At 41.9% G+C, this 26,476-nt stretch overlaps 1 protein-coding gene and 1 pseudogene across 1 annotated transcript in view, besides 6 other annotated features; one reads left to right on the forward strand and one right to left on the reverse strand.

The window, feature by feature from the left end:
* The window catches only part of PLPP3 (phospholipid phosphatase 3), an 84,803-nt gene that overhangs the window by 28,647 nt on the left and 29,680 nt on the right, over positions 1-26,476 (reverse strand). The window contains exons 2-4 of the mRNA NM_003713.5: positions 13,548-13,705; positions 870-1,147; positions 416-473 (exon numbers count right to left, since the gene is read on the reverse strand). Coding sequence (NP_003704.3) covers positions 416-473; positions 870-1,147; positions 13,548-13,705 — 494 coding nt within the window. The remainder of the gene's footprint in view (positions 1-415; positions 474-869; positions 1,148-13,547; positions 13,706-26,476) is intronic.
* Positions 2,324-2,603: an enhancer, noted in NCBI's record as "active region_1078". NCBI's record gives its function as "activates an Ori minimal core promoter by ATAC-STARR-seq in GM12878 lymphoblastoid cells {active_cell/tissue: GM12878}" and the evidence as "EXISTENCE:reporter gene assay evidence [ECO:0000049][PMID:35858748]".
* Positions 7,916-8,651: an enhancer, noted in NCBI's record as "NANOG-H3K4me1 hESC enhancer chr1:56996995-56997730 (GRCh37/hg19 assembly coordinates)". NCBI's record gives its function as "activates a minimal SCP1, AML or CMV promoter by ChIP-STARR-seq in naive H9 embryonic stem cells {active_cell/tissue: H9 hESC(naive)}" and the evidence as "EXISTENCE:reporter gene assay evidence [ECO:0000049][PMID:30033119]".
* Positions 9,350-9,644: an enhancer, noted in NCBI's record as "tiled region #2243; HepG2 Activating DNase matched - State 5:Enh". NCBI's record gives its function as "activates a minimal TATA promoter and a strong SV40 promoter by Sharpr-MPRA in HepG2 cells {active_cell/tissue: HepG2}" and the evidence as "EXISTENCE:reporter gene assay evidence [ECO:0000049][PMID:27701403]".
* Positions 11,948-12,591: an enhancer, noted in NCBI's record as "OCT4-NANOG-H3K27ac-H3K4me1 hESC enhancer chr1:57001027-57001670 (GRCh37/hg19 assembly coordinates)". NCBI's record gives its function as "activates a minimal SCP1, AML or CMV promoter by ChIP-STARR-seq in primed H9 embryonic stem cells {active_cell/tissue: H9 hESC(primed)}" and the evidence as "EXISTENCE:reporter gene assay evidence [ECO:0000049][PMID:30033119]".
* Positions 13,790-14,291: an enhancer, noted in NCBI's record as "H3K27ac hESC enhancer chr1:57002869-57003370 (GRCh37/hg19 assembly coordinates)". NCBI's record gives its function as "activates a minimal SCP1, AML or CMV promoter by ChIP-STARR-seq in primed H9 embryonic stem cells {active_cell/tissue: H9 hESC(primed)}" and the evidence as "EXISTENCE:reporter gene assay evidence [ECO:0000049][PMID:30033119]".
* RPL21P23 (ribosomal protein L21 pseudogene 23) lies at positions 15,005-15,550 on the forward strand (annotated as a pseudogene).
* Positions 25,692-26,267: an enhancer, noted in NCBI's record as "H3K27ac-H3K4me1 hESC enhancer chr1:57014771-57015346 (GRCh37/hg19 assembly coordinates)". NCBI's record gives its function as "activates a minimal SCP1, AML or CMV promoter by ChIP-STARR-seq in primed H9 embryonic stem cells {active_cell/tissue: H9 hESC(primed)}" and the evidence as "EXISTENCE:reporter gene assay evidence [ECO:0000049][PMID:30033119]".

A 26,476-nucleotide genomic window follows, 5' to 3' on the forward strand; every position in this document is an offset into this window, starting at 1 on the left:
AACAGTGTTTGTACCCTAAAATGTTATATTTAGGGTGGTGCAAGAGTAAGTGGTTTTTGCCATTTAAGTAATGTAGTCCAGGGGTTTTTGTAACGGCAAAAACCTCAATTACTCTTGCACCAACCTAATACAAGTGTCTTTATCACTTTAAAATTCCAAAATGTGTCCACAATGCTTATCAAGCAGCTATGGCAAATACTATTTTTATTTGAAAAATGGGGGAAAAAACTAGAAAGTAAAATAACTTCTGCTAAGGCAGTGGCAGCGCTCAGAATTAAACCTAACTTTTCTAGCTAACCTCTTTTTCAAGGATTTCACAGTGATGGCATGCCCCTAAACTATTTTGAGGGCTATCATATCAGAAGGGATCGAAGCTGGAACTGAGCACTGCTCAAATCAAAGGGTGGGTACTTACCACCAAATACAGCATAGTGTACATGGAGAAGGAGGCATGGCCAGAGAAGAAGGACTTCCTGCAAGAGCAAGAGAGGGCCATGAAAGGGCCGTATTCACATCCCTGATACACACTTGTCTGTCTGTCTTCCCTCCCTAGACTGTAACCTTGAGAGCAGGCACTAGGCCCTGTTCATTTTTGCATCCTTGGTAGTGCTTTGGACCCATGCCTGGAACATAGCAGGCACCTATGAATTCATGAATAAACAAAAGAATGAATGAATGAATGTACCTACCCATGCTATATCGGAAGTATTGATTTACATATCTGTCTCAATCATCTGACTGTGAGTTCCTCAAGAATAGGAACTATGCCTTATTCACCCATCTAAACCAGGGCCCAGCTAGTAAGTGCTCACTGAACTGCACTGTATGAAAGGGGTCCAGGCTCTGGCCATGCGGAGGTGGTGTCTCACCTGGCTTCCTGGACTTTGCTGTCATCACCTCTGCATCTGTAGTTCTGAATGTAGCCTTCAGAGCAGTTGATCTGGCTGAAATCAGGGTTGCAGACACTCAAGAAGTGAGGACGCAGGCGCCCTATGGACACTTTGGCAATGTCTGTGAAAGACTGGCTGATGGCACAGCCAAAGAGGAAGCAGCCCACTTGCTTATAGAGTGCTGCCACGTAGGGGTTCTGAATCGTCGACCGCGACTTCTTCAGGTAATAGATCCGGTAGAATTCCCCCGTGATGATCTAAAAGGAATCCAACAGGGGAATTAGGCAGTATCAAGATTCATCATCAACACTGATGCCGTAACGGATATTCAACAACACAGGAGAATATTCAGTATTTGCAAAGGAGTGTCCTAATTTTCTATTTATGAAATATACAGACACAAATATGCACAGAAGAAAAGATCAAAGCGCTAATATAGTTGGGTGTTTTAAGCCCCTTTGTAACAACAAAAATATACAACCAAATATATTTATATGTATATATGTGTATGTGTGTGTGTGTGTGTGTGTGTGTGTATCTTTTTTTTTAAGGGAGAGACAAGAACTTAACTATAGAAAAGAAATACTAAATGAAGAATCAACGACAAGGTAAAGGGTAGCTATGATGTCACAGGGTCTGAGCAAATCTCGAGATTCTGAGATTTGGGGTAAAGGATCACCAACAATGACCTGACTCTAGTAAGGGCCTCAGCCTTGTGCTGACATTGGCCATGGTGAGAGTTTCTGTAAGAAGAGCTGGACACACCATGGTTAAGTCCTGGGGAATTCAGACTCTGCCACCAATCTGGTATCCTTCAGCAATAATCTACATCCTCCAAGCTTTGGCCTTCTGCTCCATAAAAGGAGGCTGCTCACCTTTGCAGTTGTTGGTTCAAATAGGATAACATGAATGGGAAATGACCTGGATCACAGAAAGTGATGCTTTTACTTTTTAGAAGCAGAGTGTGATGAATAGAATACCAGTCTAACAACTAAGAAACTTGTAGTACGATGCCCTTCAGTGTTTGTGAATTTCCTCCAGTCAGCCTGTGCTGTCTTCTCTGAGCCTGACGATCCTTCTCAAATCTTTCTTGATTTTCATACTGTATCTATGATATGATGCTTAGAGGAGATTTATCACTACTGAAAATAATCCACCAATTACTGATTACCTATTATATACCAGACATTGCTTTTATATTCTTTATGTCACGAAATCCTGATGCTCAAGATAGATATAGTGACATCATTTACATTAAGGATGGGGGACAGCTGATGTTCTGTAAGGTAAATGCCTATGATGTGCACAACCACACACCCTGCTGCCTTTGTCTTAACTCCACAGCCCAGCCATGGCCACTTCCTGCTTGTAACCACAGCCCAGAGACAGTGATGGTCAACTCATCACTCACCACAAAAGTCCCTTCACACTTCCTCCCAGGGCAGGATGATGAGTTACACTTGCCCTTTCAGAGGGAAGAGAGCATGTGCACAGCCACAAGGGAAGCAATAGTCTGGCATATCCGGACACTCCTTTGCAAAGGCTCCCAATATTCTTTTACAGTGGAGGAAAGCATCAAGGCATGAGGTCTGATCAAGGTCCTCAAGGGCTCCAAAGTCTGGGGGAGGACGACCACGTAGGAAGGAAACACCAGCTGGGCCCAGGGACAAACAGGTGCAGCAGTGAGAACAGCTATTATCACTGCCAACATTGACACAGTGACTCTGTGTTCATAAATGCTTTATATATAAGAGCTACATTTTGTTTTCCCAGAACATATTGAGTACAATTCTGTATTAGAGGAACATAGGCAAAGGCCACTCTAGCCAGCATCTTGGCATAGCCGTTTCCTGAGAGAGCAAAACTAGTATGGGACCCTGCATAGATGCTCAAAGACTATCAGTTGAAGGAACAAATGAAGGAAAGGGAGCAGGACGGTAGTCCTCAGAGTTGCCTTATTACAAAATTGGAAGTATCCCCTCAACATTACCAAGAATGCTTTGATAACACGTTGCAGAGATTAAACTCCAGGAAGCATGGCAAGTCATTAATGAAAGGGACCATTATATTTAGAAGAAACTTAGGTCCAAATTAGCTCCCATCTAAAGATTAAACCCAGGTGCACTGACTCCCTGCCCAGCATTCTTTCCTACCATTCATGATCTAATTCCCCTTTTGAACCTGTTTATACATTTACCCTATGTAACCTCACAGGCAAACAAGTTCCAGATGTTTATTACCACAATCATGTTCTCTTAATCTTTTTTATTCTTCCTTATTTATAAGTCATATGAGATTTTTTATGCAGGAGGAAGAGCACTGAACTAGGAGTCAAGTAGCCGAGGTTCAAGTCCCTACTTGTTTAGTGAATTTGGGATAAATTGGTTTCTGCATTTGCAAAACGAGGGTGCTAGACTCTGATTTATGACTTCATAACTGCAATGACATTTATTCTCAACTTTCCTGGGCTACGTCCACCATCCACCACTAGCCTGCCAACCAAGCACAGGTAATAAGCAATGGCAGAGGAAAGTTACTTGCTCAGAGATGACACCAGAAGCAGGGAGCAGAACCAAGGCCCCAGATAAAATCCCTGACCTCAGATTGCTCTCTGGTTCCCTGAACCAGACACTGCTACAGATTAAGGAACTGTTTCTAAGCAGGTGTGGCCTGAGGATCAGTCAACACGATTTCCTGTTTGATGCTGAGAAAGAACATGTGAGTTTCCAATGCAAATTAGCATCTCTTTTATGAATTTACTGATTAATCTCAGATGAGTCACCTTTCTGCTCCAGTTACTTTAGGGAGACGGGGTTTGATTACAATTCAGGGATTCTTTTCAGCTCTAATGTCCCATCTCTAAAACTTCCATTTTTAGTGTCACAGTCTTAAGATAGTAAATTGCAAAGTAAAATGTTTCCTTCACTCAAGGGAAAACAAGGAGATGAAAAGAACATTTTGCAGTACCTCAAATTCCTAATAATAATGTTAACAGCAGCCATCTCTTACATTTATTTTGTACTGTAGTTTCATTGAATCTTCTCTGTGAAGAAGATATTCCATTCTACAGATGGAGATACTAAGGCTCTGGGAGACAGTGACTTTTCTGAAGGATTTGAGGCCAGTAAGTGACAGAGTTAAGAGTAGAGCCCAGGTATTCTGACTCTTAAGCTCAAAGACCCACAGCAGACTACACTGAGATAATTTTATCATTTCTATTGTTATTAAAACCAATTTCCACTGCAGAAGAGCAATTGCAGATTTTTAAGGAGAGGGCCAGGCTGAAGCCATTTAGCAGACACATGACTCCAGGACCACATGGCTTCTGGGGCAGCCTTGACAGATTTTAGAGTGAATGAGCAACAAATTATGTATTTTCTCTATCCCCTTGTACAGAAGGGTCAGGGAGTCGACAACACAGCCATAAATCATCATTATGAACCAGGCGGACTTGGCTTCTTGTAATCCTAACCCTTAAAAGTCTATTTAATGAAATTTGGGTTGTGAAAGGCAGCCTGAATACCTCACCTCTACAGACGAGGCGAAGGCTTAAATTGTTCTCCGACACGTTACACACCTAACTCTCGAGTCCCAGATTTACTGCTTTCGGACTTTATTCATTACTCACAATGTTTTTATTCCTGGGTAAGAAAATAAGCTCTTCCCTCCCCCTCCTCCTACAAAGACTCTGTCCCCACTCCCAGACTCCTGCCCCTAGAGCCCTCATTTCTGCCTCAGTCAGCAAGGTTCTGATATGTAAATTTCACTGCTGAGAAAAATGCCTTCAATGTTGATCCCTTTCTGAAACAGCAAGCAACAGATTCTGGGGGTGATGGCAGGCTGCCAGGCAAGCAGAGAATTCTCCCCTACCTGCCTTTTAAAGCACTTGGCACAGAATCTGGAAACTAATAAAATGGGAAAGCATTGCAATTAAGCTACAAGGGGACAGAAAGGGATCAGTCCTTGCCTGAGAAGGGCTGCAGTTTGGAGAGAGGTTGGCTCCAACTGCAAGACAGCTCCTCTTCCTGTCTTTTCTGGTGAAAAAGAGCTCAACTGCCCACATATTTACAAATATTTAACTGTTATGGAGAGGAAATATGAAGAAAAATTAGGATAGATTTTTGGGAAAAGATAGAGCAAGAGGTGGTGAAAGAAGCAACAACGTTGTAGCCAGAAAAACCTGTCTGAATCTTGTCTATTACCTTAGGCATGTGACTTTACCTCTCTGGGCTTAGATGTCCTCATCTATAAAATAAGGTTAATAATATCTATGTGGCAGGATTGCCAGGGAATTAGATAAGGTGATATGTCAATCGCCTGGCACCTAGCAGGAGAGCCCTCCAAAAGTTAACTTTTTTCTTCCCTCCATTGAAGAGGAAAGCAAACAAACAAATAAAAAACATGTTTTGTAGAGAGTATCTCTTCCAAGAGCTCCTTGGACGATACCATACCTAAATGAAGAGTTTGGAAATACCACCCCTCCAGGGTAGGACCAGAAAATGTATGTATGGATGACATTGCTTTTGATCATTTTATCTAGTATGTATTTTTCAGCAGATCAAGACAGAAGCAAAGTCTAAACCCAAAGCAGAAGGGACAACCCTACTCTACTGTTTTGTGTTATTTTTAACATTCCACTCTATTTGTAAATTATCCCAAGAAAAGTAATATTTTTGCACAGCAGCCTAACAATCTCTTTCAGAGACTGAGAACTCATCTTCCACCGCTGAGTCTGAAGGACAAACTTTCCTATACTCTGATCTGCTTTAATAATATTGGCTTAGTACTTTACAGCTTTCAAAGCACTTTCACATCCACTATACTGTTTGCTTCTCACAACACCATATGAATTACTAAATTATTACCAACACTTATATAAATGAGTATGATGAAGGCCAGAGAGGGCAGTGAATCACTCTGATAAAAATGAGACAGCAAGAAGACCATCACTGAAGCTGGGGCTTCCTCCTTCTAATTCCTGTGCTGTTCCCAATGGCATCGAGCTGGCTTTCTCTTAGAAGTCCTACTAGGCAGTAGTATGTATGTCTCCAGAGAGACATATGTTCACAGAACACCCAGTAAGGGCCTGCCATCTTGAAAGGCACCTGCACCTCTAAGTTCCTGCTAGCCACAGAGGGTCAAGTTGTTCTTTTACATCTCGGTTACATGAATTGATGAACTTCTTTTGCCCAGAAAAGATTAATTCAACAAACTGTTGATGATGGAGAATCGTGAAGGGAGAATCACATTTCTCACTTTAGTTCTCAGTCCCAAAGGAAAGGAAAAATATAATGTACTGGGTCCTGTTTCTAAGGATGGAGACAGATGTATGGCTGTATTTTCTCTGGCACTGACTGCTCCATCTACTGCAATAAAGTGCAGCGTCTTTAGTAACTAGAAATAGTTGATTGGAAATTTATTCTCTGATTCTTCTGTCACTTGGTTATCATCTTCAGCCTTTTTCAGAAGATCAGTGCCTCACTGTCTGGGAAAGGTAATGAAGACATAGATCTGTCCAAAGACACCAGTATAATTTCTGGGCTTTATGGGTAAGTCAGAACTCCAATATCTAGAATAAAGACAGCAAAGAGGCCAGAGAGGGGCTACAGAAGTTATTTATGGTTGAAATTAGCAGTGGCTGCCCTGTGCCCACAAGTCTCATGAAGAAGAGAGTCTGAGGCATAAAGCATCATTGTTTTCCCAAAAGTCAGGGACTCAGAGTCATGGGCCTCCTGAATGCCCAACTCTGCCAGTCCATGCAAGAATCTCCTGGCTGTTCTTTCTGCAGCATTGCCTACTGCAACCTCTTACTCTTTTTTTTTTTTTTTACCTTGAATTTCCTAGGCTTCCTTAATATCACACCACCATGCTTTTGTTACTATTTCTAAATGTATGTCTGCTTCTTCTAGTGGTTCCACATCTGACTTCTACCCAATAAATGTGGGTCTTCCCTAGGATTGTGTTCCTGGCTTTCTGCTGTGATCTCAGCTGCTTCAATAGCTTCAATTGTTACCTCTGTGAAGATGACCTTCAAAAGGGCATCTCTCTGTCTCTCTCTAGCTTCAGCCTACCCCTTTCCCCTAATTGGCCCAATTCCAATCTTCTGCTAACTCTCCCACCTGGAGATGTTAGTACCATTTCAAATTAACCAAGTCTAAGGTCACACCCATTCCCACTCCTGTCCCAAACTTCACTTCTCTTCCCTCTAGTTCTGCTCAAGATGCCACCAAGCATATGACTGACAAAGATGTGCAATCTTAGACTCCTTCCTCTCCCTTATCCCATTGTCCATCCGGCTTTTGCAAGGTCTTTTGCATCCATCTTTTTCTATTTCCCTTGCATTGCCACCACTGTGGTTCAGGCCTCATCTTTACCTTAATTAGAAAATTGACCAAGCTCACTTAAAATACTCTCATCAACCTCTAGCCAATTAGCTGGAGTAAAAATTCCTCAGCATTCAAGGGTCTTCACGATCTTGCCACAATCTTCTTTTCCTGCTGTAACCTTGTCTACTCCCTTATATTCCATTCATTCAGCCAAACAGGTCTGCTCTACATTCCCTGAAAACACTTCATTGTTTTGAAGTCTCTAAAATGGCTGAAGCCACTCCTTCTGCCTAGGTCAGGTTCTCTGACGAAAATCCTACTTATGCCTTAAAGTAGAGCTCAAGTGCCAACTAGTGTTCTGGGTTAGAGTTTGGCTCTTTGACTTATGAGTCTTGTACAACTGAGCTCTCTAAGTCTCAGTTTCCTTATCTCTAAAAATGAAGATGATGACAGTATCAAAAGCAGGGTTGTGGTGAAAATTATATGAGACGAGTGCTCAGTGAATAATGATGATGATGAAGCCTTGGCATAAGCCTTAGCCTTAAGTGCTCTTCCTCTGAACTCCCATAGCACTTTATTTAGACCTCAGACAATCTGCAGCATCTGATATGTTTCGTCCTTGAAGCTCTCCCCTCCCTAGCAGCCACCACCATGCACTGCCCTGACTCTCCTCTTATTCTCAGACTAATTATTTCCTTTCCTTGAGGGTCTAATCCTATAGTCAGACTTGTACTTGTCTTGAATTCCCTTTAAACCATAAGATCCAAAGGCAAGATCTGTATTTTACACATCAGCTTATAGGCCAAGGTGCCTACCACAAAGCCTGCTTGCTATAAGGGAGGTATCACCCGGCACCTACCTACACACAGCAGGTGATCACCATCTCTACAAACCATTGATGCACACTGTCAATCTTGGGCAGTCATCTGCCCAGTGGTCTAGATGTTTTATCTTCCTCCATACATTTAACTCTCCAAGCCCAGTAACTAAAAGCTTTTATAGCTAACTAAATAAAGAGCACTCTACATAGCACCGACCAGAGTGGGCCTTCATTAGCATCTGTTAAAGCACTTAGGCTTGAAAGCCAAACAGATCTAGGTTTTAATTCGTGTTCCCCCATTCACTAAGCAGAGTAACCTCGGGCTAGTCACTTCAACCTTATAAGCCTCAGTGTCCTCCCTCATTTGTCAAATGTGGTAAATAATAGCAACCTCACATAGCTGTTGAAGAGGATTTAAGATAAGACATGAGTTTCTGGTCCATTAAATAGCTCATAAATGTTATCTGACTCTCCACCCCATCCCCAACACACACTGCCCCTCACAGAAAGTATTTCTCGGCCTCCTAAGCATTATGACTTCAAATGGAGCATATCATCACCTCCGTATTGATACGTTTTTCAAATAGTCATGAATCCCTAAGAGCTGTACCTAACTAAGGAAGAATTGCTGCTGTTCTCACTTCTTCCAGGACATGAGAGTGAGTGTGGGTGGTGGAGAAAGGGAACAGATGAAAATTTAGTGCACTCTCCATGCCTGTGTTGTTAAATCACAAATAGATGCCCCCTCCCACTGTTCCCCCAGGGATAAGAAGGTCTCAGAAGAACTCTGTAGCCATCTGATCAGGGGACAACACAGTTGAAGGATTAATGTGGCCTCTCTCTGTTGGTGGTCTTGGTAATTGCACAGATGTAGTGGATTGTAAACTGGGGGACTGGGTCTCCCACTAATGCACCACTGGGCCAGCACAACTGCACATTTTTCAGAGTTGAAAACTCGACTAGCCTTTAATGAGGAGGCAATGTTGAGGAACCTTGTTTTCTTGGCAGGGCTCTTGTAGATAAAGGGAGATGGAGGGGTGGGGAGGAACTAATGAAGTCCAGATGTGGGCAAAGTGAAGCATGATACTGAATAAACAAGTCTTGCAGGTACTAAGCTCTTCTTCTTGTCTCTCCAGCAAGAAATTTGCATGTGGTACAGAGTGTGTTCCCATGTGCCTCCTGGAGCATAGTTGAGATTTTAAGGAAGAAAACAGGACATTTTCCCCTGCTCTGTGAATCCTCTGATATCTTTTGACCTAATGCTTTTGATTTTCTGCCCCCAGTTTATGGCCTCTTCTGTGATTTTTCACAAACATATATTGAGCACCAAGGTCTATGTCTCACACTAGCAATACCAAATCAAATCAGATCTGTCTCTCCCCTGTGCAGCTAACAGGGTAGCCAAGAAATATACAAGTAAACAGACATGACAATCAGCACAGTGACTGCAGCCACAGAGGTGGGCCCAGGGTTCTCTGTGACCTTTGGAAGGTGGGGGAGGAGACAGCTACGGAATGCTTCCTGGAGAAATGTCCGCCTGGTGTTTAAGTACCTACCATGTGCCCAGAGGAAAAGACCTGGCCCCGTCTTCCAGCAACCTATTATGTAGCTTTTTTTTTTTTTCTTTTTGATACGTGGTCTCATCCTGTCGCCCAGGCTGGAGTGCAGTGGCATGATCTTGGCTCACTGCAATATCCACCCCCTGGATTCAAGCGATTCTCCTGCCTCAGTCTCCCAAGTAGCTGGAATTACAGGCACATGCCACCAAGCCCAGCTTATTTTTATACTTTTAGTAGAGACAGGTTTTCACCATGTTGACCAGGCTGGTCTCGGACTCCTGACCTCAAGTGATCCACCTGCCTTGGCCTATGACAGTTTGTATTAAGGTGTTATTTGCCTGCTCGAGATGGGGTAGCTGCTAAGTTTCATGACAAGAGACAACATGCAGCTGGTTGTGCTGAGGTTCACTACTGTGTGGTGAACACCTGACACATCATAGGCCCTTGATAAGTAATTGTGGAAGGAGGGTAGGCTGCAGAAGACAGCAGTAGGAATCAGAGGACTCCTGGTCTGGCCATGCCACTACTTAGTTATGAGAGAGTCACTTAATATCCTTGAGCCCCGGTTGAGTTAGCTGTAAGAATCAACCTCCCAGGATTACTACCAGGTGCAAAGAAGAGCGTGCACATAAAAGCCACGCTGTAAACTGTACAACACTACAGACATATGAAGGATGATTCTCACTTATCACACACACAATATCACATGATTTGACAACCAAAACAAGCCTATGGCATTGGTGAACCGTTGTGACCAATTTATAGAAAAGCAAAGTATAGCTCCAAGGGGCCCAATGGCTCTTCTGAGGTTGAAGGACAAGTCACAGAATGAGTAAGCACTCAAGTTGGGACATGTACCTAAGTCAGATGATGCCTAAGTTTGACTTTTTCTCTAGTTAGGAATATTATTACAGAAGTCAGAGTCAAGTTAGGTAGCATTTTTATGGCTAGGGAGAGAAGGAGATTCATCCGTGACTCAACCATGCATCAATTCCTAGATATTAAGAATCTGTATAAACCCCTTTTAGGTTCTGAGCGAGGCAAGCACTGAGCCCATGTATATTTAAAATGAATACTTAGCATTTCTGCCCATTTTAAATCTTTGCCCATGATACTCTTTGTAATACAGTGCAAGACAAAACTGAGAGATAGGAGATGATATTTTACTGTTTGCTCCTAGTCTTACTGCTGCTAGAGTCATTAAGCCTTTGCAAGGCAGGGATAGGAACCATTGCTTTGTGGATTTGGAAGGAATTCCTATTATGCTATAATTCCAGAATCTGAGATACATCTGAAAAAGAGGTCAACATGACTAGGTTTTTCCATATCTCCTGCCATTGAAAGGTGTCTGCTTTCTCCATAACGCGTGATGATTTGCATCTCTAAACCACACTGGTCTCCTCCACTGCCATTCCGTTCCTTTGTTGTGGGGACCATCTGAATGGGAGCAGGGGCATCCAACTCAGTCAAGGCCTCTCTTGCTGTTTTAAACAAACCTGACATTCAGCAGGAGAAGGCTCAGGACTGCAAGCAGCAGGATGATGGTTCAATTTCCAGCTCTGGGCCCCTCCACCCTCCACGTCTGTCACTCTTGCCCTCTAATCAGAACCGGGTTCTGGATGGGGCCAGCTGGGAAAGTGGGAAATGTGTCGACGTCATCGTTGTTGTTGTTGTTAAATTTAAACTCTATAGCTTTTCCAGAACTGAGAATGCAAAAGTGAATTATCCCCTCCACCTCTGAGGTCTTTGCTTTTACCTTTTTCTGTGAGTACCCTTGATAGTTATGACAGGTAAGCAGGCTAGGAGGCTTCATTAGGAGCCCCCAATTCACGTGTCTCCAGCTGAAATGCAACAGCAGTTGGACCAAGAGGTAAGAAATTCCTATTGCAAAGAGGAGTGAGAATCAAGAGACCTGGGTTCTAATTAAATAACTATAAGATAAGAGTGGGGGGTGTAGCTAAGGCTGGGGTTCCTTTCCTTACTGTATTTTTACCAGATATAACATCTGGCTGTCACTTCACCATTTTTTGACTCTGTTTACTCATTTAGAATAAAAATAGTTAACATTTACTGGGCATACCATATGTGCCAAGCACTGAGTTACTTTATATACATTAGCTCATTTAATTCTCAAAACCTTAGTAAGTAGACATAGTATCTCTATGTAACAGATGTATTTCCGGAGGCACCATAAGGTTAATTTGCCACATGGTCCACAGCAGAGGTGCTCAGGTCTGAACCAGGGCATGTGCTTTTAACCCTGTGCTAAACTGAAAACCCTAAGAATATCTAGCTCTTGGGGTTTCAAGGGTGAAATGCATCCACATTTTTCACGTGTATCCCCATACACAGTAGCACTGGACAAGAGATAACAATTATTGCAGTAATTTCTTGGCTTGTGTTTCTCCGGAACTATAGGAAAGCACTATCTAATCCATTTTGCTGCCATTGTATGGGTTGGGGAAGCAATGCTGTTGCTCATTGTATAATGAGGCCACAGCACATGACTGCTTCAAGAAAACCTGGGAGGTCAGGAAGCATTGTAATTAAAATATCAACATAACACAAGGAAAGGGGCAAGCCACAATGAAGCTCTCAATAGCACATTTTTTTCTAAGAAATGCTGACATCCCTTAAGGAGAAAGGGATTGGCCTTGGCAAGCAGCAAGCGAAGAGCTGCTGATCTGAAGCTCTGCTTGGGGAAGGAAGGATGGGAGGAGACACATGAACTCTAAAGAAGCTACTTTAGCATTTTCCTTTGCCCATCCTGGGGCCAGGTCAGAAAACCAGAACCATTCCCAACTAAAAGACTCTCAACGTTCCAGTGAGCCCACTGCTGCAGAGTGCAATTCCAGGCATTATGGCATTCATTTGATTCTTACAGCAATCCTCTTGAGGGAATCCAAACAGCAATCTCATTTTACAGATGAGGAAACTGAAGGTTAAAGAAATCAATGATCCACCTAATTCACATAGCTACGAGAGGCTCTGAAGAGTGTCTCTTTCCACTGCCCTGTGTCTGGGAGCAGCCCACTAGGCAAGCTGGGAATAATGCCACAGAGAGTGACGAGCATGTGACATTCCTGTCCCTGTGCTTTTCTTATCTCACCACACTCTTGGGTATAGCGGGCTCCTTTGAAGCGTTCAATTAACTGATCCTCCAACTTTCAAAAACACCTGTTCAAACCTCAATACATGATACTGTGCAATTATTTGCTTTCCACAACAAACACCTTTTTCAGGGAAAGCCATTCTTCCTAGAAACTCAAACCCACAACTGTCAATTTGGAGCACACAGGAAAACTAGACCTTTCATTTTTCAGTTTTCAAACACAAAGATCCTTAGTCCACCTTTAAGAAACTACTGCCAAATGGACTGTTTTTCTTTTAAAGGTTGGAAAGAATTCTACTAGCCTCCCTTCCCCCTCCCCAAATTCAAGCTGTTGATTGTGTGCCTGGTTTACGATGTTATTAAAAAACAAAGAGGGGTCTCAAAGTTTACAACCAACCTCCAGAGTGGGCAAGTCAAAAGAAAACTACATGAAATGTGGTACATGTAACATCAGCAGCTTACATTTGATCCAGAGTAGGCAAGATAAGCTAACTGCCTATCCCCTTGAGCAGTTCATTTGGACAGGTTAGCCTTCCTGAACTGTAAGTCTGCGAGATGGAAAGGGGGTTTGAAATCAGCCAGGCACAGGCTGAACCTGAATTTTTTGTAGCTGTAGTCTTTGAGTACGTCATTTAACTCTCCCATCTGTATAATGGGGGTGATAGCACTTACTTCACATTTAGTGTTCTCAGGATTAACTACCTTCCTTCTTGGCTAAATATAGGCCAGAGAAAGTTGGCTTCTACTTGGTATAAGTCTCTGTTGGCTCAGACATTCTATAATATGACAATACAGGAAGAAGTCAGACAGGATCCACCATAGCAGAGTCTGGACACTTACCGCGAGGATGGCAATGACGATCCCCACGGCACAGAGCACAGCGTCATTTATTGTCTCACCAGTTTTCAGTGGGTACTTGATGCTCTCATCATTGCAGTAAAACCCTCGGTGGTAAGGCTTGATGGTGCTTGTCTCGATGATGAGGAAGGGGAGGCCCGCTGGTCCAGGTGGAACCATGGCATATACCAGAAAAAAAAAGAAAAAAAGGAAGGGGAAAACATCAGTGCCAAAGAGGAACTTCAAGAAAAGACCATCCCAAATATCACTGAGAGTGATAATCGTTCCTTCCATTTGTAGAGATCTACTGCCTAGAGAGAGCTTTCGCTATGCACAACCCCATTCCTCCTTTCCACACCCCCATGAGGAGAGAGGCATTATCCTCTTCTCTTCCCCAAGAGCTCGGAGGTAGGCAGTGAAAGAGCCAGAGCAGGGGTTTTCCCACTGTTCTACAATACCCTGCTAAAAATTAAAGCCCGAATCGCAACATTTACTAATATAGCCCCAAATCTCATGATTTATGCTTCCAAGGGCATTCATTTCTTAGCTCTTAACCATTTCCCCTTTGAGAAGTTCACTAAGGCTGTGCTGCCTGGGGTAGTGAAGGCCTTGGAGTAAAAAAATCTGGATGTGAACCCCAGATCCAGCACTTCCTCTGGTTCCCACTCCATTTCCCTGAGTCCCAGTTTTTTCCCACAGTAAAATGAGTTGTGGTGATGACTAAAGGAGATCAACGCACACACAACCTCTAGCACAGTGCCTGGCACATAGTAGCTGCTTCATGAATGCCATTTTCCAGGCTTTTCTTTCACTGTTCAAAGAACTACCAATAAGAGTGAGCAGAGCTGAGCTTGGCCCTGCTGCCTGCAGACCTGGATAGAGGGCCCAGGGCACCCAGGAGAACCAAGTGACTCTTGCAGTTGCTGCTGGTTATCAGTGGCCAGCTCAGATACTATTCTCTCAAAGGTCATGGCAAATGGATTCCATCACCTGCCAAGAAAAGTCCCTCACAACCTTGACTTAAAAAGCAAAGGCCCATGATAACTCTTGTCTGGATGCTACAAGAGCCTCCTAATCAGGCTCATGGCCCCCATTCCCTTCTACAGATAGCCACCAGTTTGCTTCCTGAAGGGCTTGGACCATGAGCATGTCAAAGCCTTGCTAAAGCCTCTTCAATGGCTCCCCATGACACAGGGTGAAATAAAGTCCCTAAGTATGACTTTAGGAGTTCCCATGACCTGGACATCTCTCCAGCTTCATGCTCTGCTGCTCCTCTTCAGTAAGCCTCCAAGAAACCAGTACACAGAGACTGTGGATTCATGCTATTCTCTTAGACCAAAATACCTCTTCCTCCCCAACTACCCAACTGCAATACCAAGCTCCAATGACACTTCGCAAAGTAAAAGGACCAGTTCTTTTACAAATCTTGGAACTAGGGAAGACCACCAAAAACACAGTGGCCTTTCAGCTGGAACTGCCATCTTCCAGTAATTCACCAAAATGACAAACACAAAGGGAAAGAGGAGAGGCACCCGATAGATGTTCTCTAGGCCTGTTAGAAAACATGGAGTTGTTTATTTGGCCACGTATATGAGAATCTATGAGAAAGGTGATGCTGTAGACATCTAAGGGAATGGGTACTGCTCTAAAAAGAATGCCCCACAAGTGTTACCATGGCTAAACTGGAAGAGTCTGCAGTGTTCCCCAGCATGCCGTTGGTACTGTTGTAAACAAAAAAGTTAAGGGGAAGATTCTTGCCAAGAGAATTAATGTGCATATTGAGCACATTAAGCACTCCAAGAGCTGAGATAACTTCCTAAAAAACATGAAGGAAAATGATCAGAAAAAGAAAGCCAAAGAGTTCAACTGAAGTGCCAGCCTGCTCTACCAAGAGAAGTGCAACTTTGTGAGAACCAAGGGGAAGGAGCCTGCTGCTGGAACGTATGAACTCATGGCATAGTAGATGTTAAAAAAATAAAATAAAATAAATACAAGACTTCTGGGCTGCAAAAAAAAAAAACACAGTGGATAATACAGCCACTATTGAATGCACACTCACAATGTGTTGGGTTCTTTATATCCATTTTTGCATTGAAGTATTATTTAAGCACTACCACCCATCTTCAAGTGGAGGGAACAGAGACTCAGAGAGAATACTGAGCTCATTCAGGGTCTCTTAGTCCACCTCCAAATGCTTAAATCCCTAATTTAACTTTGCAAATTGATTTCATTCAAATGTGAATTTCATTAGCTGAAAAATCCCAAGATAAACAGTTGTTTAAAAGATAAAATCCCATTTTTCATGTTTTTCAAAAAGAATTAAATTCACATCATGTTGCTTGAAGTCCCAGACCACCTCTAAAAAAAAGTACCATGAACTCCACAATTTTTCAATTACTTTGGTCCAGACCAGCAGTGATAAAAATGCTCACTTTCTAAAAAGTGTATTTATGTATCACTGTGCATACACACATGGATTTATTTGGTTTTATTCTTTGGATTTATTTGAATTCTATGGCTATTTATTTTGTGACCCCTAACTGCTTCCTGCTAGAACAACAATTTACTTTATCAAATTCATACTGGTGCTTTGAAAAGAAAGAACAGCAACACACCACAGTATTGTGCCTGACCTTCTCAAAGTAAACACAGAGGGGCCATGACAGGCAATAGCCATTAGGTTTTAAAACTTTGTCTCTGCAATGGAGGAGAGGGGGGCAGGGAAAGGCAGTGGATAAACGTTCTGGCTTAGAAATGATCTTTAGGGGTTAGGAGCCTGGGAGAGAAATCATATGGTCCCGAACCATCTTCATGCCACTGCCTAAACATTTTGAAATGCAACCAAGTTGGCTATGAAAAGTAGCTGAGAAGCCAGCAGTATGATATTATTAATAGTCTGCTTTTAAAGTTCCACATATTGAGATTTAAAAGTTGAGCTGCAGTTGCTCTGGTGCCTAGGAGCCAAAGTGTTGCTAATAAACTCAGGAAGGGAACAGACCCCAAGTTCCTTACATTTGCACTCCACTCTCAGACCTCCAGCTTCTATTTTTAATAGTGCTCACATGATAGGCCTGTAAAACATATGTTTCTATGGACAATAAAACACATATAAAAGAGTTTTGGAGTTAGACAGAACTGGGTTAATGATCTTGACTCTGCTCCCTACTACTTGAGTAAGTTATTTCACATCTCCAAAACTCCCTTTCTCATCTGTTTAATGGGAAGAATGAAATCTAACTTTAGGGTGGTTGGGATTATATAAAAATTAAAGCATTCATTCAACAAATATTTATTGAGGCTTAACTATATATATTAAGTTACAAGGAACACAAAGATGACCCAGACCCTGCCCTCAAGAAGCTTACAATCCAGCAGGGGAAGACACATATCATCAAAATCAGTTGAGAAGAAAGTCAAGGCAATAGCACTGAGTAATGCCAGCATAGAGTCCGGGACACACTGTGGACACTCAATGAATGTTAAAAAGAGAAGGGAAAAAAGCCTCACAGAGAAGGCAAGGGAAAAAAATCTGGTCAGTCCTTTGCCCACTTTTAAACTGAGAACAGTCCAAATCCTTTTTCCTCTTTCTTTGCCTATGGCTTGGGGAGGGTTTCCGGTTCTGATTATGTGGATGAAGACCACAAACAGACAAGAAATTGGAGCTGAATATGTTCTGTTTATTTTCTTGAAAGGCATGCAGATGGCATTTACAAAACCCGATGGCTTTTTTTTGTCTCCCCTATAAACTTGTGGTATTATTGAGGGTGATGCCAGTCAAATCTTGATTTTGATCCAGGAAGAGTAACCACAGATTTCCTTCAGTTGATGGGAAAAGCATAAACATCCCCCCAACTAGGCAGCTAGTCCAACTAGGCAACTAGGCAGAGATATAACACTGTGCCTTGCCCTTCCAGGACACAGAGAAGAGGCTGTTCTTCTCCAACAACCTTTAGTTCCAATACCATCACCATCTTTATTACCAATTACTATAGTCCCTTATCACTTCATTTGGAGAAATTTCCCAGTGCTAGACACTGGAATTCTGGAAGTCAATACATCATAGTACCTGCCCCGGAGGAGTTCACAGTGTTGTAAGATAGTCAAAAAAGCAAGAACCCTGAATTATTTCTAGTGTGATGACTGACATATGCATAGAGTACACCAAGGACACAAAGACTATTCTACTAGAGTCTTTCAAGGTGTCCAACAGAGGGTGGGAGACTTCAGTTAACCCTTATATAAGTAGGAGGGGTTTCTAGAGTCCACGGGCTAAGTACAACCATAAAAAAATCAGTGCAGTTTAGGGATTTCAATATTGTCAGTCACAAAACTGATGGCTATTAAACAAATACAATTTTAAAGTTTGCTATAGAGCTAGAGGAGATGAAGGGAATGAAGGAAAGAAAGGCGAAAATAGCACAAAGCATAAATAATAGGTAACATTTACTAAACAGTTAGTAAGTTAGTATGTGCCCAAACTGTCTTGAGGGTCCCCATATAAACTATTGTAGACTGACAAACCTGGCTGCCTACCACAGTCTAGGCATTGACTGGGCCACTGAAATGAAAGAGGCTACGTTCCAACCTTCAAGTGGCCCAAAGGCTAATAGGATAAACAGTCATAAAAACTAATACATTAAGCCACCCTAAGGTTCAAAGAGATTAAAGTGACTTACCAGTCACTCTGCAAGTAAGTTATGGAGCTGAACAGGTTTCAAATGATCTGACTCTGATTTTGGGTGCTTTCTATAAAGTAAGTGAGTCACTCTTCAGAGAAGGAAGCATCTATAAGTATTAGTAAATTAACTGAAGCTCAGCAAATCTCATGGCCTCTGATGAAAAAGGCACTGTTCAGAACAATCAAGGGAATGGCACTGGCTCAAGTTAACTGAACTTTCACTGTGTATCACACATGTGCTAGGTAACTAATTTCATCAAACTCTGAACGCAATAGCCTGGAGTTTAAATGTATTCGTAATAAAAGGTGCATTACAAAATTTTTGCAAAGCATGACCAAAAAAAAAAAAAAAAAAGAATCTAGTGAGTGCAGACCGAGACCCAGACCCAAGCATTTCTCCTTCCTTTAATCAAGGATCAATTAACTTCATATACCTCTGGGGATTTCTTGGGATGTGTAGGTTGCAGAGGAGGTGAAATATGAACTCACTGACAAACACTTAATGGGCATAAAATCAAAGCATGAAGAAAGGCCCCTGTGTTGGGTTCAGGCCTTTGAAACTTCTCTGGCTTTGAAAAACTAACACTGGGGCAGGTTGGGTGGTTTGGGGGTGGAGTGTAAAAAAACACAGACTAAGTTTTTGTGGCCCACCCATTGATAAACTCATGTGGGAAGTGTTACCCAAGTGACCTGGCCCCAAAGCCCTGCTCCCTGCAGCCACAGTTCACCTTTGCACAAAATTAAACACAGCCTCCTTCTCACAAAGTGCTTTTTAGAAAGCCCTTGGTGAGGCTAAGAAGAGAATGATGGGAAGGGTGAAGAAGGAATCTTTGCATTTTTTGACCAAAATCAGAGCACCAGGAGGGGACTTTTATGTCTTCTACATACCAGGTCCTTCATGTCCTTTTCCAGAGTTGTTCAATTTTCCACTCAAAACAATCCATAGTCATTATAAAATACGTGAAGTCCAGGATCTGCGAGAATAATAATTAAACTAACATCTGCAGAAAGCCTACACATCTATCCACAAAATAATACTGGTTGCACAAAAATAGGCATCTGGTATAGCATAATTACTCAAATTGGGCAGCTATTAGAACTCTGTGACAAGGCCATTTGCGGTGGCTCATTTCTGTAATCCTAGCCCTTTGGGAGGCTGAGGCAGTTGCATTGCTTGAGCTCATAAGTCCGAGACCAGCCTTGGCAACATGATGAAACTCCGTCTCTACCAAAAAAACAAAAATTAGCCGAGTGTGGTGGTGCATGCCTGTAGTCCCAGCTACTCAGGAGGTAAGAGGATAACTTGAGCCCAGAAGGCGGAGGTTGCAGTAAGCCAAGATTGCACCACTGCACTCCAGTCTGGGTGATAGAGCCAGATCTTGTTTCAAAAAAAAAAAAAAAGAACTCTGTGATAAAAAGTTTATACATCTTACCTACAGTACAGAGTTATGAGTAGGTACTGTTCTACCCATCTTACAAATGGAAAAACTGAGGATCAGAAATGTTCATCAGTTCACCTAAAATGCAGAGCTAGCAATGGTCCCAATTTGGACCACCTATTCAAAATATAGACTGAAGACCCTGGACCTTGAAGGAGTTTAGACTTTAGGAATTGATTAATTTAATCTCCACGATAGCTATGAAACGTTGTGGGTTATTATTTTCATGTATACCCAACAGAAAACTGAGGCCAGAAGTTTTATAACTGGTACAAGGTCCTCAAGTGAGTAAATTGGTCACTGGGTTTTGAACCCACATCTGTCTGTCTTTTGGCTTATATTTTCTTACTCTATGACCTGACCCTCCCTTTCTTTATAAACATATTCCCTGTTAAAATATCACTCACTGATTTTTTTAAATCACTTAAGGCCAGAATGGTCAACACAACTATTACTTAGAGGTTCAAAATACAAATATTTATGTTGCTTGTAAGTGACAGGGCTTCTATTTAAAGTAATTAATTGCTACTGGTCTTAGAAGTGTGCAAACTTTCTTTGGTTTACGATATTTGTCCAGATTTTTAGACTGGACACAATCCAGATGAGACAAAACTAAGTTTACTATGAAGGCATTTTTCTACCTTTGAAACAGGCTGCCATGAAAAACACTTGCTGTTGGCTGGTGTGAACACGCAATATTCTGGGTCTAGAGGTCTTCCTTAGCAATTGCTCATTCTTCAGTACTGGAAAGTTCAGGCCCTTTCTCCACAAAAAGAAGACTGTTGGAACCAAAAGCAACTACGTGGTAGAAATGGAGAAACCAGTGGCAGATCTAGTCCTAGTACTTGGGTTTCCTGACCCCAAATCAAGGTCTTTAGTCCAACTCAACAAACAAGTATGGCTCTTTCCTAAGTACTGAGTACTGTGTTAGGTGCTGGGGAAAACAAAGGTGAGTAAAATACTGCAGTGATTTTGAGTTCCCTGCCTTCTGAAAGTCTCAGTTTCCATGACAAAGAGAAACCTGTTTTACTTTCACCATGGGCGTTAAAAAGAACTTTGGATGTCCTTTCTTATTTGAAAGTGCTTACAGTGAAAACATTTTATTTTTAAAATAATTAACATCAGCCTCCTTAAAATCCCCAGCTCCAGCTGTTTCAGCCCTTTCTGTTGGATTTTTAAAGGGTTGCCACATTCATCTGCAAATAAAACAAACTGACCAGCAACTCATGGTTCATATCTTTAATTGAAAGAACTCCAAACCTCTTTTGTCATCATTATATATTTCACAAATGAGGTGTTTTATTTCTAGTGAAACACAACTACCAGAGCCAACAGGACTCATAATCCTTCCATCCCAGGTAAAGCTGAGTCACTTCCCAAGACCTCCTTCCTTTTGAATCCTCTTTAAATAAGGGAGAGTAAGTATACATTTATTGGGCACCCACTATGTGCTAGGAGTTTTGGATACATCAATTGATTTAATTCTCAAAACAATTTTCTAAATTAATTATTAGGATATAGACAAAAGACCAAGGGTCAGAGAGGTTGTAATTTGTTTCAGTATCCACTCTGAGGATAAGAGGCATAAACAAGATATGTAATAGAACTGTCTGACTCTAGAATTCATTCAGAGATGGGACCAGTTAGCCTTTATTGCTAAGGATACATGAACTATGTCTATTCACATATTAGCAACCTAGAAAGTCAGCTACGAAACTCTTGAAAGTGGACAAGGGCAGAAACCAAGGCTCCTCTTTAGATGTTAAGATGGAACCATACAGATCCAGCCACTCTCTCTCTGCCTCATAAGTCTCCCTTATGACCCAAAGGCATTCATTTGCAACATGGCTACCCAGAGTTAAGACACAGCAATAGTCCCATCCATGCAAAGTATTTCTGAGCTCTTACATAAATCATCACATTTGATCTTCCTAACAACTCCATGAAGTAATGTCTTTAACATCTGAATTAAAACAACTCCTATTTATCTTTCAAGACTTAAATATCCTTCAAGACTTAAATCTCTCCAACAAAGGATTTACTTAGCCATGTAACCCACTCTAACAGGATTAATTGCTTCTTTATTTTTTCCAATTTAATCATGATCTTTGGAGTCAGGCAGACAAGATTTCATATTCCACTCCTATCAACTGTCATTCTTGCTGTATGACCTTAACTCTCTGAACTTTATTTTTATCACTGTACAATAAGAGTTGGCACATTAATTCCCAATGTACAGAGTTGATTAGGAGGACTAAGATGTAGTTGATAAAATAAGTTATTTCTTGCTCTTATATGTGACAGGGAGCCACCAAAAGCTTTTATGTGGGGGTAAGATGTGACCAGATTTCTGTCCAAAGCTCATGCAAGTAGCCATGGGCCCACCAGCCACTTCCCATACGCAATCTAATCTGCAGGGAAAAGCATGCTCATGAAGTCCTATAATTCCAGGAACTTCTTGGGATTGGGTAGACAAATGGGGCTTTGACAGTGGTTAGCAAGACCCGGAACCCTGACATAGGGAAGAAACATCACAGTGGGAACCCTGCCATATATTCTCAAAAGATCACATGATGCTGTATCGGAGGCAAGTCTATAATAAGGTTGAGAAAAATACATTTATTTTTATTTTTCCAGCAGTTAAAAATTCATTCGTCAGCATGTGCACTCCCATCCAAGCCATGCTACCCAGGTGTACACAAAACACCCCGTCTATGTGGCAGAATAAACAACACGTGGACTGGCAGGACACCAGACACCAGGGACAGCCAAAGATCGAGATAGTCAAAAGGCAAGACTGGAGCCAGATGCAGTGCCAAAAGCGAAGAGGTGAGCATTATGGGAGGCCCTGCAAGAACAAAATCACCCTGGTGAGCAATCCAAGGGCACTCCAGGTATGCCACTGAGCTACATGGCCCGCGATCTAGCTCAAAGGTCACAAGCTGGCAGCCCATGGCCAAATCTGGCCTGTAGAGATGTTCCGTTTGGCCTACCCAGGGTTTAAAATGTTTTAAATTGTTAACATTTAATAACAGGCAGATAACATCCAGATTCCCAGCTTCTTAAACCAGCTCTAAAGTGTGTGGCAATGCAGGCAGTAATAACAGCGGCTGCCTTCCCGCAGGGAGCATATACACATTCTCCAGGAGCCACCTACTCCCCACTATCTCCCTGACATGAAGGCTGTCTGTGGGTTGCCATTCTCATTGAGCTTGCACTGTCAATTTTCTTATACCTGGTCCACTGTAGTCATTTATGTTAATTGCCTGGCTTTGTAAACATTTGACTTTATCCTTGCTGTAGAGAGTAAGAGTCCTTGGTTAATGACTCTTGGGTAAACCTATGAAAATAGAAATAACTCTTGATGCCGTAATGTCTCCCATAGTAAGTAATGGCCACATTAGACATGTATATATATGTGTATATGGTTATGTGTGTGTATGGATTTATGCGTATGTCTTAATCTTAACCCAAGACTGAGCCTCCTATCTATGTTTTCAATTATAAACCCAAAGATCATGTCAAGTCACCAGGGCAAGGTAGTTCATTTCTGCATTTTAGTTATGGGGAAACTGAGGCTTAGAAGCTAAGTAACTTGCCAAAGGTCACACAGTAAAATGAACAGGGATGTGAAACAAAGCCTTGCTGAAATAGAAAGCCCTTACCAAATTGACTCCATGAGGCTGGTGGTTAGGTCAAAATGAACATCTACCTTACTGGCCAGGTAAACAGCTTATCTTAATAAATTGCATGGTTATGCTTCAGAAGATACAGTGGACCCAACTTATAGCTCTCTATGTGATACTAAATGGGAATATCAGAGAGTTTTATTTTTAAAAGCAATAGCTATCTAAAATCAAAACAAAAACAATCTTCTGATAGAAGCCCACTAATTCTAAAGAATAAAAAATAAAAGCAAGGTGAGAAGGGAGTTAAAAATTAAAGTCCATCAGATATTTGTTGGCATCATAAATCTTACTCAGAATGGAGTTAGGTGCATAACAGTAATATCCTGATGAAAGTTTAGAACTGTAAGAGATCTTAATGTCATTTGTTTTCATTTAATAGATGGGAAGGTTGAGGGCCCCCTCTGTCTAACATCATAATTATTCCTTTCCCATAAATCTCCTGCACTAGCTAAGATCCTCAGAAAAGGGTTCATGTTATTTATCTCTGTGTCCCTGATACAAGGAAGAATTCCTGGCACATAGTGGGAGTTCAACAAATGTGTACTGAATAAATGCATAGGAAACAAACCAAAATCTGGAAGACCTGGCCCCCTACCAAATACACTCTAGGACTTGTGGATCGTTTTCTCCCCACTTTCTAAATTTTAACCTAATCTCTCCCACATCCCAAATCCTGTTTTTTAATGCAATCCCCCAAAACAGCACAACATCCCATACCCTAATAAAGAGTAGACAATTCCATCAGGAATTGTTTACAGGGATCCTAACCAGCTTCAAGTCTCAGATGGGTGGTTAGGCCGGATGGCTAAGAATAAGACACTTATCTTCAGTTTCCAGCCTTTTCCACATAGTGATACTATTAGAAAATACACTATAGGGCACTCCTAGGCAAGCTGAGGAGACTGCTGCTCAGTGATTCAGCTGCCATGCCCCACCCTGCCCAGCTGCCCAAGGGCTAAGGGATCCATTTCAGCACACCCCTAACCCATTTGCTGGGATCCTCTTGGGAATTTCTGCCCTAAAGACAGCTCCAAGTAAGAGGAAGAGCACAGATCTCAAGAAAGCAACTCAGACCTGGGTTTGAAAACCAGTTTTGCCACTGACACTCTATGTGATCTTCAGCAAGTTGCCTAATTTCTCTGAGCCTCAACTCTAAAAAGAGGATGCCAATATCCACTTTGAAAAGCTGTGAGGATGAAATATCAGAAGGCAGGTATTTAACAAAGATTAGTTCTCTTCCTTCCCAGTCCTGAAAATCTACTATCAAGCTGTTTACATGATGCCAATCAACTGGCTTGACTGGTTTCCTCACTAAGGTGGTTGGAGTAACCTGGACAGGGCCGTGTCAGCTCAGACAAGGACTGTCACTTGCATTGAGCAAGACTGGAGCCGTTCCAGGGTGCTGTGGATAGGACAACCCTCACCCTGGGAGCACACTCCCCATTCCCAGTCCTGTCAATGTTCCTTTTGTAAAACACAGAAACTTTCTTCAAATCTGACAGCTGCCACCTGCACAAATAATTCAGGGATGTAATTTTGTAACTCAATACAAACCTTGAAAGCTGAAAAGTTTGAAGTCCAAACTAATCCCTTTGACCTTCTGCCTAAACACTCACTAATCACTTTTTAATTTGTAGTTGATTTCCTCTCTCTGTGCTGTCCTTACAGGCTACATTTTCATTTTAGAAGTATCCAGGGAGTAAATGGCATTACAAAATACCCAACTGAAGTACAACGCAAACTTCTTTTCCCAGAGATCTAAGGCTTCTCCATGGCCCACTGAGTTTTCCAAATGGCAATGGGTGGCAAGAAAATGAGGGAGAAAATTCCTCCTTTGAAGGGGAGACTCCTCACTGGGAGAATTATGAGCTACAGAAGTTAATAAGATGTGGTCTCTGCCCCCCTAAAAATGCATACTCTGGGAATAACCACCCATCAACAATGTGACAAGAACTTCCACAGGGGCATTACTAAAGTGAGAGCACTGAGGATGCCCTCAGCACATGACCTGGCAGCCAGCTGGCATGCAATACCTATTTACTGACTAATCCAGTAAATGAATTTGAAATACTCCTTGCTGTCATTTGAATGCCATGTCATTTGAATGCCAATTGGTATAGCCAATTTAAGGCTATACCAAAAAAAAAAAAAGATCCAGAACTGAAAAGGTTTTCTTCCCAAGAAGTTAACAAAACTGCTGCTTTGTTCAGTTCTTATTATCTCCCAACCTTTAATGCTAAGGAAAAAAATTAGAAAAGTACTTTGAGGGAGCCCGTCTAGTTCCTAAAACAATAGATGCTGAAAAGATGCTTGCTAAAAAGGAAGCGAACTGGCAGTGAAAGATGTTAATGTTGTTAAATCCAGAAGAATTTTCTTACTTGGGAAAAAAGGTTTCTACTTTAGTCATCACTAGGATTATTGTAAAATGAAATAAATTGAAATCCACTGGAGGCGTTCTATTCTGTGTGGCCGTTCTTTTTGCCTACTGGGTAATGGAAGCCTCAAGTGGTCCAAGGTGGATCAGCTCTGTCAATATCCTGGCAGGGAAAGTAAGTCAACACTAGTCATTGGTTCAATGAAGAAATGTCTGATATCAGTAAGACTGCACAAGCAAGTCTGGGAGTTAAGTAATAACTTTATGTTATTATTACCATCAGTCTTAGCTCTGCCACCAACTACCAGTTTGATCACCGGATCACACTTCCTCATCTGCTCTCTGGGGTTCATTTTCTTCATGTGCAAAATGAAAGGGCTGGTTTTCCCAGGTGTCTTGTGGACCTTTCTTATTTTAAGAGTTTTCATCTTTATCCAAGGACTGCAGAGTATTTTGTAAGCAAGGTTTCATTTCCATAGCATCTTTACGTGATAGAGGGGCTTCACTACCTACCTTTGTCCCAGCTGGGGTAACTGAGGAGCACTCAACTTTCTTTTAGGTTTGTGAAGGCAGACTGGCTGAGTAGAGACCTCTGGACTTCAAAGATGCTCATTTATAAAGAACAGCTCCAGAAAACACCCCAAAATCTGCAGACCTTCAGATAAAAATTGAACGAATGTTTGGCAGCTCTTGGCTCTGCTGAAGTAGTAGGCATCAGCAAAAATGGGCGGTGGGTTGGAGGGAGGTGGGAA

Source organism: Homo sapiens, chromosome 1, assembly GCF_000001405.40.
Source record: "Homo sapiens chromosome 1, GRCh38.p14 Primary Assembly".
Taxonomy (NCBI): domain Eukaryota; kingdom Metazoa; phylum Chordata; class Mammalia; order Primates; family Hominidae; genus Homo; species Homo sapiens.